The sequence below is a fragment of the Homo sapiens genome, chromosome 6 (assembly GCF_000001405.40).
Source record: "Homo sapiens chromosome 6, GRCh38.p14 Primary Assembly".
In the NCBI taxonomy this organism is placed as follows: Eukaryota; Metazoa; Chordata; class Mammalia; order Primates; family Hominidae; genus Homo; species Homo sapiens.
Window position 1 is genome coordinate 83,865,288 of NC_000006.12, and position 14,407 is coordinate 83,879,694.

At 39.6% G+C, this 14,407-nt stretch overlaps 2 protein-coding genes across 5 annotated transcripts in view, besides 1 other annotated feature; both read left to right on the forward strand.

Moving 5' to 3' along the window:
* RIPPLY2-CYB5R4 (RIPPLY2-CYB5R4 readthrough) overlaps window positions 1–14,407 on the forward strand; it is a 114,064-nt gene that overhangs the window by 11,928 nt on the left and 87,729 nt on the right. The window lies entirely within an intron of this gene.
* The window catches only part of CYB5R4 (cytochrome b5 reductase 4), a 107,735-nt gene that overhangs the window by 5,599 nt on the left and 87,729 nt on the right, over window positions 1–14,407 (forward strand). The window lies entirely within an intron of this gene.
* Window positions 5,403–5,697: a silencer, noted in NCBI's record as "tiled region #3398; HepG2 Repressive DNase matched - State 9:DNaseU, and K562 Repressive non-DNase unmatched - State 23:Low". NCBI's record gives its function as "represses a minimal TATA promoter and a strong SV40 promoter by Sharpr-MPRA in HepG2 and K562 cells {active_cell/tissue: HepG2 | K562}" and the evidence as "EXISTENCE:reporter gene assay evidence [ECO:0000049][PMID:27701403]".

The following is a 14,407-nucleotide window of genomic DNA, read 5'->3' on the forward strand; positions in this document are numbered from 1 at the left end:
CAACACCAATAAATGCTGTATTAATTTCCTATGGATGCCGTAACAAAGGACCACAAACTAGATGGCTTAAACAACAGAAATTTGTCTCATAGTTTTGATGGCTAGAAGTCTGTGATTAGGGTGTCAGCAGGGTTCGTTCCTTCTGATGACTGAGTAACAATTTGTTCCATGCCTCTCACCTAGCTTCTGGTGGTTTGCTGGCAATCTTTGGAGTTCCTTGGCTTATAGAACATTACCCTAATATCTGACTTCATCTTCACGTGGCATATTCCCTATGTGCTTGTCTGTGGTCAGATTTTCTGTTTTTATATGGACCCTAATCATACTCGATTAGGGACCTCCCCTACTCCAGTATGACCTCATTTAATTTTGCATCTGTAACAACCCTATATCCAAATAAGGTCATATTCTGAGCTACTGATGGTTAGGACTTCAACCTATGAATTTGGAGGGGGACACAGTTCCACCCATAACAGACACAATTAGAGTGTGAAATTTTCAGTGGCAAAGGGTATGGAAACTTCCAGCAGGTGATGACGTAGTTTATATTGAGACATAACAGGTGTTCAGCTCCCCAAAGTTCCTCAGAGACCTACAAATGTGAATGGTACCAGCAATCTGGAATGAGGATTCTGGCAGGTGCAAAAAGATCCTTTTGACATTTTATAGGGTTTTTGCCACCCTCTTTATCCTTCCTTCATGCTCCCTATCTGTTTACCAGCTGCAAGTAACTGGTACAAAATGACTTCCCCATTGTGCCTGAGTGTTTTCTGCTAGATAGGGTGAAGTCAAGATTAATTTCCCAAGAACACCTTTCAGCTGGCCCAGGCTGCAGGCATGCCTGAGTTCTGTTTCTGCACTAGGAAACCACTTTAGAAAACTTGATTATGTGAACCCTTCATATCCTAGTGATATTAGATAATTGAGGCATTATTAGAATACAGTTAGACTTTATTATTCATATGATGTATTGATGGGGACAAGGGACTGGATTGCTGTGTTTGAAAAGTGATACAGGTTGAGTATCCCTTATCCAAAATGCTTGGGATCAGAAGTATTTTGAATTTGGGATTTTTTCAAATTTTGGAATATTTGCATTATATACTTACTGGTTGAGCATCCCAAATCCAAAGACCGGAAATTTAAAATGCTCCATTGAGTGTTTCTGTTAAATATATTGGAGCTCAAAAAGTTTCAGATTTTGGAGCATTTCAGATTTATGAATTTGGGATACTTAACCTCTACACTGCTCCCGGTTCCATATCCTCTGTAATGATTTGAATGTATAGCACCTCGTCTGGTAAGGTGGTTGAATTAATCATGGTTTGTTTTTTTTTTTTATAAAGGAGACAGGATCTCGCTTTGTCCCCTAGGCTGGAGTGCAGTGGCTTGATCTTGGCTCACAGCATCCTTGACCTCCTGAGCTCAAGTAATCCTCCTGCCTCACCCTCCTAAGTAGCTAGGATGACAAGTGTGCACCACCATGCCCAGCTATTTATTTTTTATATTTTTCTAGAGATAGGGTCTTGCTCTGTTGCCCAGGCTGGTCTTGAATTCCAGGTCTCAAGCAGTCCTCCTGCCTCAGCCTCCCAAAGTGCTGGGATTACAGGCATGAGCCACCATACCTGGCCATGAATTTTTTAGAGGTTTCTGCTGGGGAACATGTTCTACTCTATCTATAGTAAGATGTTTTCCCCTCTTTGTAGAAATAAGATGTGTCTTTTTTTAAATCTTTTTACAGAGTTTGGTCTTTTATTTTATCAAGAAATACTCAGTTTAGACCCTGCTGATGGAGGAAGGATAAATTATTGTTAGCAGGCAGAGTGAAGCACCTTAAGAGGGCTACAAAGTGTAAGTGATATCAGACTGTTGGAAGGGAGACACATGAGTTAGGAAAATCAGGGATGCTTTTGTGGTAGAGATAAGCCTTGAAGCAGTAGACAGGATTTCAATAGGAAATGAGGAAGTGCACTCAGGTGGAAGGAAAGGCCTGAACAAAGGTACAAACACAGGAAAGTTTGAGGTGTTCTGGAGCTTAGGTTAATTGTTGGAGAATTATAAGAAGGAAGGCTGGAAAGGTATGTTAGGTCAGATTGTGGACAACCTTGAAAGCCAGACTGGGAAATGTGTTCCTCATATAGATGGCAGTGTGTACTCTTGAAGGGATTTGAATGTGGGGACAGTGTTATAAGAGTATGCCTTGGAAAGATTAATCTGGTGGTAGGTGTGGTGAATTGAAATAGGGTAAGGAAAGCATTTATCTTCTTACAGAAGTTCGGATGATAACAGGAGGTGAACCAGGATGTTGACAAAGGTCATGGAATAATAGGATGAATGTGAGACAAACAGATTACTGGTAACTTCTAGCACGATCCCAATGAAACTAAAATTACATGTGTAAGGGAAATGGCTGTGCTTTAGTCAGGAGTAGGCCGAGGTGGCCTGTATGCACAGCATGACTCAGCGGGTTTGGAGCGCAGGCACATAACCTCGCACATTATGTAACCATGTCATGTGAGCTCGTGCTTGGCTCTGAGTCACTATTGTCTGTAAAAAGTATAATTGCCCTGCTTACGCTGTACATACAGCTTGCTCACACCCAGTGAGAGAGTAAAGCCATGTTGAAACTGTCTGCGATTCCTCAAGTGTTTTTCCAGCTACCCTCCACTTGCCCACCCACTCCCCTCAGACCTCAGTTAGAACCTGACAACATGACTAAACAAAATTACCTTTTTCTTCACAGCTGTTCTAATTTAAAATATTACTGATAGCTTCTTAATGGGGGAATGTGTGTGCCAACTTTAGTCTTGAAGGTTAGAGATAGTGTTTGGACCCAAGTTTTCATCAAAACTGTGCCACAGGGAAGCATGGTATCATAGTGCCTTTTTTTTTTCCCTTTTTTAAAGTACTAATTCCTTCATTTTGTGACAATTGCCCCATTTTTAGATTAGGTCTGAATTCAACTGATCACAATGTGGGAGACACAATCAGTTTCTTCAGGAAATCTTAGAAAATATACAATTTGGTATGGGTTTTTATGACTAATATTTTGGGGACTGTTTTCTTTTTTTGAATAAGTAGCAGCATTTCTGCTTCATGTTCAGGTGTGCCGAGCCTAGTCACATACCTTAAAATGATGGTATAAAAACAGCACTTGGCTGACAGTGGGATATAAAAAATGAGCATCAGTTTGGAATGATCTCTAAGACGTGTATCAAGTTCCTAATTTTTTCATTTAATTTTCACCATTTTCTGTAAAGTATGTAATTATTGTAATGCAGTAGTAGTTAATTGGAATGCTGAAGAAATCGGTTTGTAGGGGGATTACTGCTTTTTTAAAAAACTTGAATTTACCATTAATTCATGCTTTTATATTTTTCTCTCTTGTTTCTCCCTCTCTTTCTCAAGAACTAAAGATTTACAGATATGTAAAGTGTTGAGCAAGTAGCTAAATCACTCGTCTGAGAGTTCTTCTGTCAAGCCTAGATCAGACTGTTTTTACTGTAATATGATATGTTTTATTGTAGTACAGTCAGTGTTAGTAATGATGCATTAAGTAGTGAAATCATCATTTGGGCAGCATGGTTCACCCTTTTATCTTAGTGAGGGTAAGGGAAGTGTGGCTTGATACTCAATAACAGTCCATTTGAATAAATGGTATTTCAAAAAAAGTTGACTACAGCCAAAGGACTAGTGTCCCTGTTGCTAAAAATTTAGCAGATTAGGTTCTCCAAATGGTATTTTAATGGATTTTACTTATTTAGAAATGAACACATTTTGATTTCTCCTTATGCTGATTGTCATATACTAGTAAATTGAAGAGGCCTGCTTGATGCCACTGCAAAAGTGGCTTATAATGGGTCTGTATTTTTAATTTCATAACTATTTTTTAAAACTTGTGAAGTGGATCCTAAGAAGTAGTATTTAGTCCTGTTATATTTCCATTGCAGTTATTTAGATTTCTAGGTTCATTTACAACAGACCTTTTAAAATTTACTCATAGGAAGGTAGTGTAAATTTTTGTGAATATAGTTGATCCTCATTATTCATGGACTTTATATTTGCAAGTTTACCTACTTGCTAAACTGCGTTCATAACCTCAAACTCAGTACTCACAGTGTCTGTTATTCATTCAAAGACACACACAGAGCAGTGAAAAATATCTTTGTTGCCCAGCGTGCACATTCCTAGCTGAGGTTAGACAAGGCTATGTTCTGACTTCTTGTTTTAGTTCTTATACTGTAAAAAAGTGTCTTTTTGACCAGGCACAGTGGCTCACGCCTGTGATCCCAGCACTTTGGGAGGCCAAGGCAGGCGGATCACCTGAGGTCACGAGTTCGAGAACAACCTGCCCAACATGGCAAAACTCCAGCTCTACTAAAAATACAAAAAATTAGCTGGGCATAGTGGCACATATCCCAGCTACTCTGGAGGCTGAAGCAGGAGAATTGCTTGAACCCGGGAGTCAGAGGTTCCAGTCAGCCGAGATCACACCATTGCACTCCAGCCTGGGCGACAAGGGCATAACTTCGTCTCAAAAAAAAAAAAAGTGTCTGTTTTTGAGGTCTGTTTAGTGCCATAATTTTTACACTTTTGTGTTTTTGGTTGGTGTTTTTACTGTTTAAAATGGCCCCCAAGAATAGTGCTGAAGTGCTGTGGCAAGAAAGCTGTAGTATGCCTTATGGAGAAAATATATGTCAGATAGGTTTCATTCAGACCTGAGTTATAGTGAGTTACAGCTGTTGTCTGTGAGTTCAATGTTCATGAATCAACAATATATATTAAAGAAGGTGTCTTTAAACAGCAACACACATTAAACAAGTTTATGTATTGATTGGTTGACAAACATGTTGTCATTATAGGCTCATAGGAACCCAACTTTGTATTTTTTACTAGTAGCAATGGGTCAGTATTCGCTAATTCAGTGTTTGCAGCATACAGGAACCCAACTTTGTGTTTTTTCCAAGGAGCAATGGGTCAGTATTTACTAATTCAGTGTTTGCAGCAATTTTATGGAAATGATTGCTATGAACAAGGATAACCAACTATATTTCTTTAGATTATCTTTTATTTATACTTCAGTAATGATAACGAAAGCTTTGTACTTTTTGGGTTAAATTCAGACCCACCAAAAATAGAGCTGATTTATCTAACCGTTTTTTTTTTTTTCCTAGGTTTCCTTAGCTCCTTGGTTCATTTCTGTTTTCAGAAACTGCAGTGTTATTTGTCCATAGCAGGGAAATTTTTCTACCTGCTCTTTTAGGAGCAGTTTTTCAAATTTGGAACTAATGTTTTAATTTGTAATAGAACATATTAACCCAGTAATATACTATCTAAATAATAATATATTATTATTACAGTTAGTTCAACCATTCTGTAGTTTACTTTGTGTACTATCATCATTACTTTCTTGGCAGATTTTTGAACAACTCTCTTCTTCCATTTTCTTGTTTAGGTTAGATTAAAACCCACTGTATTTGTAACCTCAAACTCAGTACTCACAGTGCTTTTAGACATTCAAAGACACGCAGAGAGCAGTGAAAAAATCTTTGTTGCCCAACATGCAGGTTCCTAGCTGAGGTCAAAGAAGGCAGTGTTCTCCCTTGAATACAAATCAACAATGTTCTGCCTGGAAGAAAATCAACATTATTTTAGTGGTACATGTCCCTTCTTTCATTGTTTGCTTTTTTTTTTTTTTTTTTTTTTGCGATGGAGTTTCACTCTTGTCACCCAGGCTGGAGTGCAATGGCACGATCTCGGCTCACTGCAACCTCCGTCTCCCGGGTTCAAGCGAGTCTCCTGCCCCAGCCTCTTGAGTAGCTGGGATTATAGGCGCCTGCAGCCATGCCCGGCTAATTTTTTTGTATTTTTAGTAGAGATGGGGGTTTCACCATGTTGGCCAGGCTGGTCTGGAACTCCTGATCGCAGGTGATCCACAGCCTTGGCCTCCCAGACTGCTGGGATTACAGGTGTGAGCCACCACACCTGGCCTGTTCATTGAATTCTAACCTAACCCATAGATTTTTCAAGTTGCCTTATTTCACATGATTATGCAAATAATCTAGTCTTTGTCGATTGTATTAATTCCTGTCTTACTAACATCTAAGATTATTTGCTTTCTCTTACTTTTACCCTGTCTTTATCTCCTAAATTGTCATTCACTCTTTTCCTTCTCCTCCTTTTTTTCACTTTTTCTCTCTCTGTACTTCTCTCCCATTCATTAAAAATTTAGTGGAGAGGAAAAACTGCTGATCTGAGGGCCTTATCTAACCCTCAGGTGTTCTGTTTGGTTGACACAGTGGTTTAGAAATTGCAGCCAACATTCTGAAATTTTCTTTGTGGGAAAGTTTTTCTTTTTTATTACAAATTTAATTTTAAAAAAGGATATAGGGCTATTTAAATTTTCTCTTTACTTTTGTGTCAGTTTTAGTTGTGTTTTTCAATGAATTCATTAATTTTATCTCATTTAATATATTGGCATATAGTTATTTGTAATATTCCCTTTTTATTTCTTTAATGTCTTTAAGTTCTATGATATACCCTATATATCCTTTTTCATTCCTGGTGTTGCTAATTTTTTCTCTCTTTTTTTTCTTGATCAGTCTTACTAGAAGTTTATCAATTTTATTAACATTTTGAATAAACTAATTTTGGTTTGTATTTTCTCTGTTGCTTCTTTTCTGTTACATTGTTTGTTGTTTCATTACTTGTTGTTTTCTATTTTGTTACTTTTATTAGTGATATAGCTAGTTTAAGATTTTTTTTCTTCAGCATTTGCATCCTTATATTTCTAGAGATAGTCTGCAGTAACTCTCATTATATTCCTGGTTATTGCCTGAATTACTTGATAGTGGCAATTTTTACTCCTATTTATGGTTTGGCTGTTGCCATTATCTTTTTGCACATTCAGATGTATTACCCAGTCACATAATTCTCAGGTTTAAATTAAAACCTCATATATAGTTAAATATTCTTTTTAGAAAGTGCTTCCTTTTTTTAAGTACCCTAGCAGGGTTATTGATGTGTCAGTTATATGCTATGTGCTAAGTGTTAATTTTCACAACAGACCAATGAGGTAGGTCCTCCATTTCACAGATTGAGGGTACTGAAGCTTAGAGAATCCGCATTTACCAAATAAGAAAACTGAAGCTGATAAAATCTATTAGTGGGGAGTCATAGATGTAAATGATAGAAAACTATTTTGGCTTAAGCAGAAGCAAAAAGTTACTAAAAAGTTAGAGGTGAGGATTGATGCAGGGGCTCAGACCAAGTCCCCAGGACCTGCTTTCACATTATCTTTTGGTTTCCCTTCTGAGATCACTGTGTTTTAGGATTAACGCTAAGTTCATAGCCTGAAGATGATCACAGAAACTTCAACCCTAGTTATTTTCTAGTTCTGTTCTGTTTCTCTAATAGCTGAGATAAAGGTCTTAGATTTGACTTTGATTGTAACAGTTTTGATCAAGTTCCCATTGCTGGTACAGTAATTCTATTTCAGGGAAAACGGTATACTTACTCACTTAAACCTAGGTCACAAACTGCATCCTGTAGCCTAGTGTGGGACCAAACTGAAGCATATATGACAGGGAGTAGTTCCCTGAACAAAAAGTGATACTGTTGCTAGAAGGGATTGGATGCTAGGGGAAAACATTAATGTCTACCACAGAGAGTCTGGTAACTTGCCAAAGGCATAGCTGATGAGAATGGAGCCACTGTTTCAATTTAGGCAGCCTTATTCTAAGCCTTTACACTTAAACTATAGACTGTGCTGCCTCCTGTTTTACTATATTCAGCTCTAAAGTTAATCATGCTTTAGCATTTGTGTGTGTTTCTCACTTTGAGTGACATAACATAAATTAATTAAGAAATTATCATGGGGTGTCTGTTACTTATAACTCTTCTCGTGTTAATTAACATTGCTAGTTAAGAATCATATAGGGTATCCTTCTTTTTTTTTTTTTTTTTTTTTTTTGACAGGGTCTCACTCTGTCACCCAGGCTGGAGTGCAGTAGCATGATCTTGGCTCACTGCAATCTCCACCTCCTGGGTTCAAGTGATTCTCGTGCCTCAGCCTCCCAAGTAGCTGGGATTACAGGCACCGATCACCACACTCGGCTAATTTTTTGTATTTTTAGTAGAGATGGGGTTTCACCATCTTGGCCAGGCTGGTCTTGAACTCTTGACCTCAAGTGATCCACCTGCCTCAGCCTCCCAAAGTGCTGGGATTACAGGCATGAGCCACCTTCTGAGACAGTTTTTATCTTTAGTAATTTGATGAAACATAGTTTTTGCTTTTTCGTATGACTGTGTGTAGTTGTCGCTCATAAAATATAGAGAAGACAGGTTTTAAGTTTCCTTTGTTGGTTCATTCATTTAATGAATATTTCTCAAGGGTCTGCTATGCGTGTGCATTACACCAGGTTCTGGAGGGTAATACAAATTTAAAATAGAGATGGCTTGTGCTCTCATAGAATTGACAATCTGCTCGGGGAACAGAAAGTGTTAATCCAGTCTGTTAGGTGTTGTTAAGGAGGTGTGCTGTGCTGAGTGAAGATCGCAGAAGACTGAGCTGAGACCTGAAGGATACATGGGAGTTAACTAAGCAAGGAGAGGAATGGGAACATTATTCCAGGCTTCAGGAAAAAGCATGCAAAGGATGGGTGGTGTGTTTATGTGTGATTTCTTTGTGATAAAAGAAATTATGTACATGGGCAGGTGTTTACAGTGAATATAAGGAACTTGAAGTGGTAGCCATATTCTGTCTTCTCCTTTTTATCAGAAAGACACTTCTTTCAAAGACTTCCTTCCTGCCTGCTTGCCTGCCTCCCCTCCCCTCCTCTCCCCTCCCCTCCCTTCCCCTCCCCTCCCTTCCCCTCCCCTCCCCTCCCCTCCCCTCCCTTCCCTTCCCTCTTATTTTTTTTGAAACAGTGTCTCATTCTGTCACCCAGACTAAAGTGCAGTGGCATGATCATAGCTCACTGTGGCCTCAACCTCCTAGGCTCAAGTAATCCTCCCACCTCAGCCTCCAAAGTAGCTGGAACTACAGGTGTGCACCAACATACCTGGCTACTTTTTTAAAAAAAAAATTATTTTTTTGTAGAGCCGGGCCTCACTGTGTGGCCCAGACTGGTCTTGAACTCCTGGCCTCAAGCAATCCTCCTGCCTTGGCCTCCCAAAGTGCTGGGAATGAGCCACTGTGCCAGGCCTCAAAGACCTCATTCTTTCTCAGACCTTTTTTTTTTTTCCCCCTAAGGCTAATCCCTTTATGTGTTCTTACCAGTCCTTTCCAGCCTTTTTTATCATGTTGGGCCATTGGTCGTCCTTTATTGTCTGACATCTTCAATTCTTGCCTTTCATTCTTCCAGCAGCTTCTTTCCTTCAGTCTCTTCATCTTTGAAAACCTGACTCTGACCCTCCCTGATCGCTTCTTCCCCAAGGCTTTCTTCCTCTGTACCTGGTATGTAGGACTTCTGTTAGAACATCTGTTTCGTTTTCTTGGCCACTTTTTATATTTTTGTCTTTATTCTTTATTTTTTTATTTTTATTTTTTTTTTTAGATAGAGTCTCACTCTGTCGCCAGGCTGGAGTGCAGTGGCGCGATCTTGGCTCACTGCAACCTCCGCCTCCCAGGTTCAAACAATTCTCCTGCCTCAGCCTCCTGAGTAGCTGGGATAACAGGTGTGCACCACCAAGCCCAGCTAATTTTTGTATTTTTAGTAGAGATGGGGTTTCACCATGTTGGCCAGGCTGGTCTCAAACTCTTGATCTTGTGATCTGCCTGCCTCAGCCTCCCAAAGTGCTGGGATTATAGGCGTGAGCCACTGTGCCCGGCCGTCTTTATTCTTAAGTTTCAGGATATTAATGTACCACTTTTCTCCCTATATCCCTTGCATCTGGCAGAGGGCATAGCTCATGGTTAATATTCAGTAAATGTTCTTTGAGGCATGTGTAGATTTTGATATGTGCAAAACTTTTTATTTTTTAATTAAAATTTTAATGTTTTTTTAGATACTGAGTCTCACTATGCTGCCTAGGCTGGACCCAAACTCCTGGGCTTAAGCGGTCCTCCTATATCAGCCTCCTGAGTAGCTAGGACTACAGGATGTGCAGGACTTTTAAACCACATTATGGTAGTGTTACAGGACCACCACCACTTACCCAAAGGTAGCCATTGGGTCAGGATTTCTGCACTGTGGTCCCTTCTGTGGTTACAGGAAAGTGTTCCCGATCCAGACCCCAAGAGAGGGTCCTTGGGTCTTGTGCAAGAAAGAATTCAGGACAAGTCCACAGTGCAAAGTAAAAGCAAGTTTATTAAGAAAGTAAAGTAGTGAAAGTACAGCTACTCCATAGGACAGAGTAGGGTGTTCCTGAGAGTAAGAGGAGGAACGCATCCACCCTAGGTACAATGCTTGTATACATGTGGAGATGTGCTCTGCTACAAGGGTTTGTGATAAAGGATTAATTTTCTTAATTACTACATTTTGCAAGAATCAATATTATTATCTTTGAAGAAAAATTAGGAATGCCTTTGTTCTCCAGATATCAGGATATCTGGATACTCCCAAGTCTGGGTCTGTTTAGTGGATACTATTAATTTGTTCCCTTAACCACAAACATCTAGAGGCTAGGTATGTCTGACTTTCTCGGAATTTAGCCTGGCAGGTCCCAGCCTCTTTTTCCTAGCCCTCTCTCAAAATGGAGTCGCTCTGGTTCGAACGCCTCTGACAGTAGGGATATTCTAATGTTATCACAAGATAGAACCCAGCTGAGGGACTTCCATGTTTCGTGTTTCCATATTGTTGGCTCCTGGAGTTGGGAAATATACTAGTTCCTTAATAAGAAACTTCGTTATTTCTGGACAGTTCTCTAATATAGATTCATGGTCTATCAATTCAAATGTGAGCAACAGCCTGATAGGTTTCATATGGTTTCTCTCCTTTGTATAGTTTTGTATTTTCTTTTGTAGACTTTGCACACTGTGGGGATTGGGTAAATATTGAAGATTTCTTAAGGGTCATTTTTGTCATTAAATACTTTTTAATGAAGTATTTTATTTTGAAAAAAGTTTCAGACTTACAAAAAAGTTGCAAGTGTGATGCAGTGAATTCCATAAATTCTTCAACTGCCTGGATTCATCCATTGTTGACATAGTTATCATTATATTTTAATGAAACCATTTTTTCTCCACTATTATTTTTTATACTTCTTTGCTTTTTTTTTTTTAGCAGCTGCTCTAAGGGTTTATGATATACATTTCTAATGTATCAGTCTACTTTCAAATAATATACTATTTCACATATAGTATAATAACCTTTTAATAATATACTTCCATTTTCCTTTTCTGTGCCTTATGCTGTTGTTGTTATTCATTTTACTTCTATATAAGCTGAAAACCCCACAATATGTTACTATTTTTGCTTTATACAGTTACTTATCTTTCAAAGAGATAAAGATAATTAAAAAATTATATTTTATGTTTACCCACATTTTACCATTTTCTGTGATTGTTATTCCTTTTTGTTGATCCAGATTTCTGCTGAAGAACTTCCTTTAACTTTTTTTTTTCAGACAGAGTCTTGCTCTGTCACCAGGCTGGAGTGCAGTGGCACGATCTTGGCTCACTACAACCTTCGCCTCCCAGGCTCAAGGGATTCTCCTGCCTCAGCCTCCCCAGTCTGGGAGTACAGGCGTGTGCTACCACACCTGGCTAATTTTTTATATTTTTAGTAGAGATGGGTTTCACCACATTAGCCAGGATGGTTTCGATCTCCTGACCTTGTGATCCACCCGCCTCGGCCTCCCAAAGTGCTGGGATTACAGGCATGAGCAACCGCACCCAGCCCTTTTAACATTTTTTTATAGTGCAGGTCTGTTGGCTATGAATTCCCTCACTTTTTTTCTGAAATGTCTTTATTTTGCCTTCATTTTAAAGATATATTGTCATTGAGCATACATTTCTAGATTGACAGTGTTCTTTTTTCCGTCAGTTTAAATATGTCACCCTATCGTCTAGTTTGCATAGATGAGAACTCTACCATCATTCTTTTTTTCCCATAGTATGTGTCTTAGTTCATTTTATGTTGCTATAAAGGAATGCCTGAGGCTGGGTAATTTATAAAGACAAAAGGTTTATTTGACTCGTGATTCTTGATGGCTTGAAAGTTTAAAATTGGGCATCTGCATCTGGTGAGGGTCTCAAGGAGGAAGATGAAAGGGAGCTAGCGTGTACAAAGATTACATGGTGAGAGAGGGGGAAGGGCAGGAGTGGGTGGGTGGGGGAGGATGTGCCAGGCTCCTTTTGACAATCGGCTTTCACAGAAACTAATAGAGTAAGAACTCACCCACAAAAGAGGGCATTAATGTTTTCAAGAGAGATCTACCCCGATGAACCAGACACCTCCCATTAGGCCTCACCTCCAACACTGGGGATCAAATTTCAACATGAAGTTTGGAGGGGACAAATGTCTAAATCATAGCAGCGAGTAAGATTTCTTTTTTCTCTGACTGCCTTTAAGACTTTCTTTTAGGTTTTTAGCAGTTTGACTATGATATGGTTTTCCCTGTATTTTTCCTGCTTGGGGTTCTCCAAATTAATTTTGGGAAATTTTCAGCCATTATCTCTTCAAATATTTCTTTTGCATCTTCCTCTGGGATTCCAGTTACAAACATGTTAGCCTATATTGTCCCAGGGCTCTTAGATGCAGCATTGTATTATCTCACTCTTTCCTCTTTTGTTTATGTTTGAATAATTTTTATTGCTCTTTCTTTAAGTTTGCAGAGTCTTTCCTCTATTTCCAGTCTGCCAATAAGCCCATTAAAGAAATTCTTCATTCTAATATCATGTCTTTCAATTTGCTATTTCCTTTAGACTTTGTTTTATGGTTCCCATCTCTCTGCTGGAAATTTCTCATCTGTTAGATGTCATCCACATTTTCCACTAGATTAAAAAAAAATCAATCATAGGTATTTTGACATGTCTAATAGTTCCAATACATTCTGGTTGTGTTGCTGTTTTCTCTTTTGACAATGAGTTGTTGTATCTTTTAAAAAAGATGTGTTTTGTAAATTTTTTTTTTTTGAGACAGAGTCCTGCTCTGTCACCCAGGCTGGAGTGCAGTGGTGCAGTCTCGGCTCACTGCAAGCTCCGCCTCCCGGGTTCACGCCATTCTTCTGCCTCAGCCTCCCCAGCAGCTGGGACTACAGGCACACGCCACCACGCCTGGCCAATTTTTGTATTTTTAGTAGAGACGGGGTTTCACAGTGTTAGCCAGGATGGTCTCGATCTCCTGACCTTGTGATCCACCTGCCTCGGCCTCCCAAAGTGCTAGGATTACAGGCGTGAGCCACCGCGCCCAGCCGTGTTTTGTAATTTTTGAATGAATGTCACACATTACATATAGAAGAATAATAGAAACTGTGGTATTTACACTCAGACATGTAGTACATTTTTTTTTTTCTGGCAGGTAGTTAGGTTGAATCAATCTAGTAAGTAGTTGAGCTAGATTTGGAGTGTATTTTGCTATTGTTACCATCAGTGTACCACAGACTTCAAATTCCTCCAGTGGTGGGCCACTGCTACCTTGGTTTTAATTCAGGGCCTGCAATGCTAGAGGGTTTTTTTCCCCCATTGTTCTTGTTCTACTCTTAGCTGACACCTTACCCTATATATCTTTGCAGGATCTTTCTCCATTGCTCTTCCCCCTCTCCAAAAGGCAGTGCTGTTACTTATTACTTGGTGTAAGACTTGTAGTGGGGGCAGAAGGGGTTTTGCAGTTTTCCTGTTTCAGCCTCAGTCTTAGACAGGTTTTATGCACCTGAGCCCCAGGGGCTGAGCTTTCTCATTGCTTTTGTACTTCCCCAAGGGCAGATAACTCCTGCATCGTACTCAATGCAGCATCTAGAATGCAGGCAGGTTTCATGAGCCTCTTCCCTTTGTGGCAGCTGGACTTTGCCTTGTATCAGGTGGGGAGGGCAGGGCAAAGGGTCTAGGATGTGAGCAGTTTCCCTGTCTCTTTTCCAGTGTGAGAGTATCAGTGTTTTGTATTCACACCGAATCTGGGTCTGAGTACATTTTCTGTTCTTTCCCAGTATTTAGCTAGCATTTGCCTAGTGTCAGTGCAGGATAAGGGAGCGTGTGTGTTTTACACTCTTTCCAGCAGCAGTTAGTATTTGCCTCCTGTCAGTACAGGGACCGGTGGTGGGAGGCTTTACTGCCCCTTTCCATCAATAGATGGCTTTTGCCTCCAGATAGGATCTGTGGTATGGGTGAAATTTTCCCTTTACCCTGGCAGTAGCTCATTAACACCTTGTACTCCTGTAGGCCTTAAACTATGGATGGACTTTTCTTTGTACTCTTGCACTACCCTCTAATCTTGCTGCAGATATTACACAGCTGTGCTACCAGTGG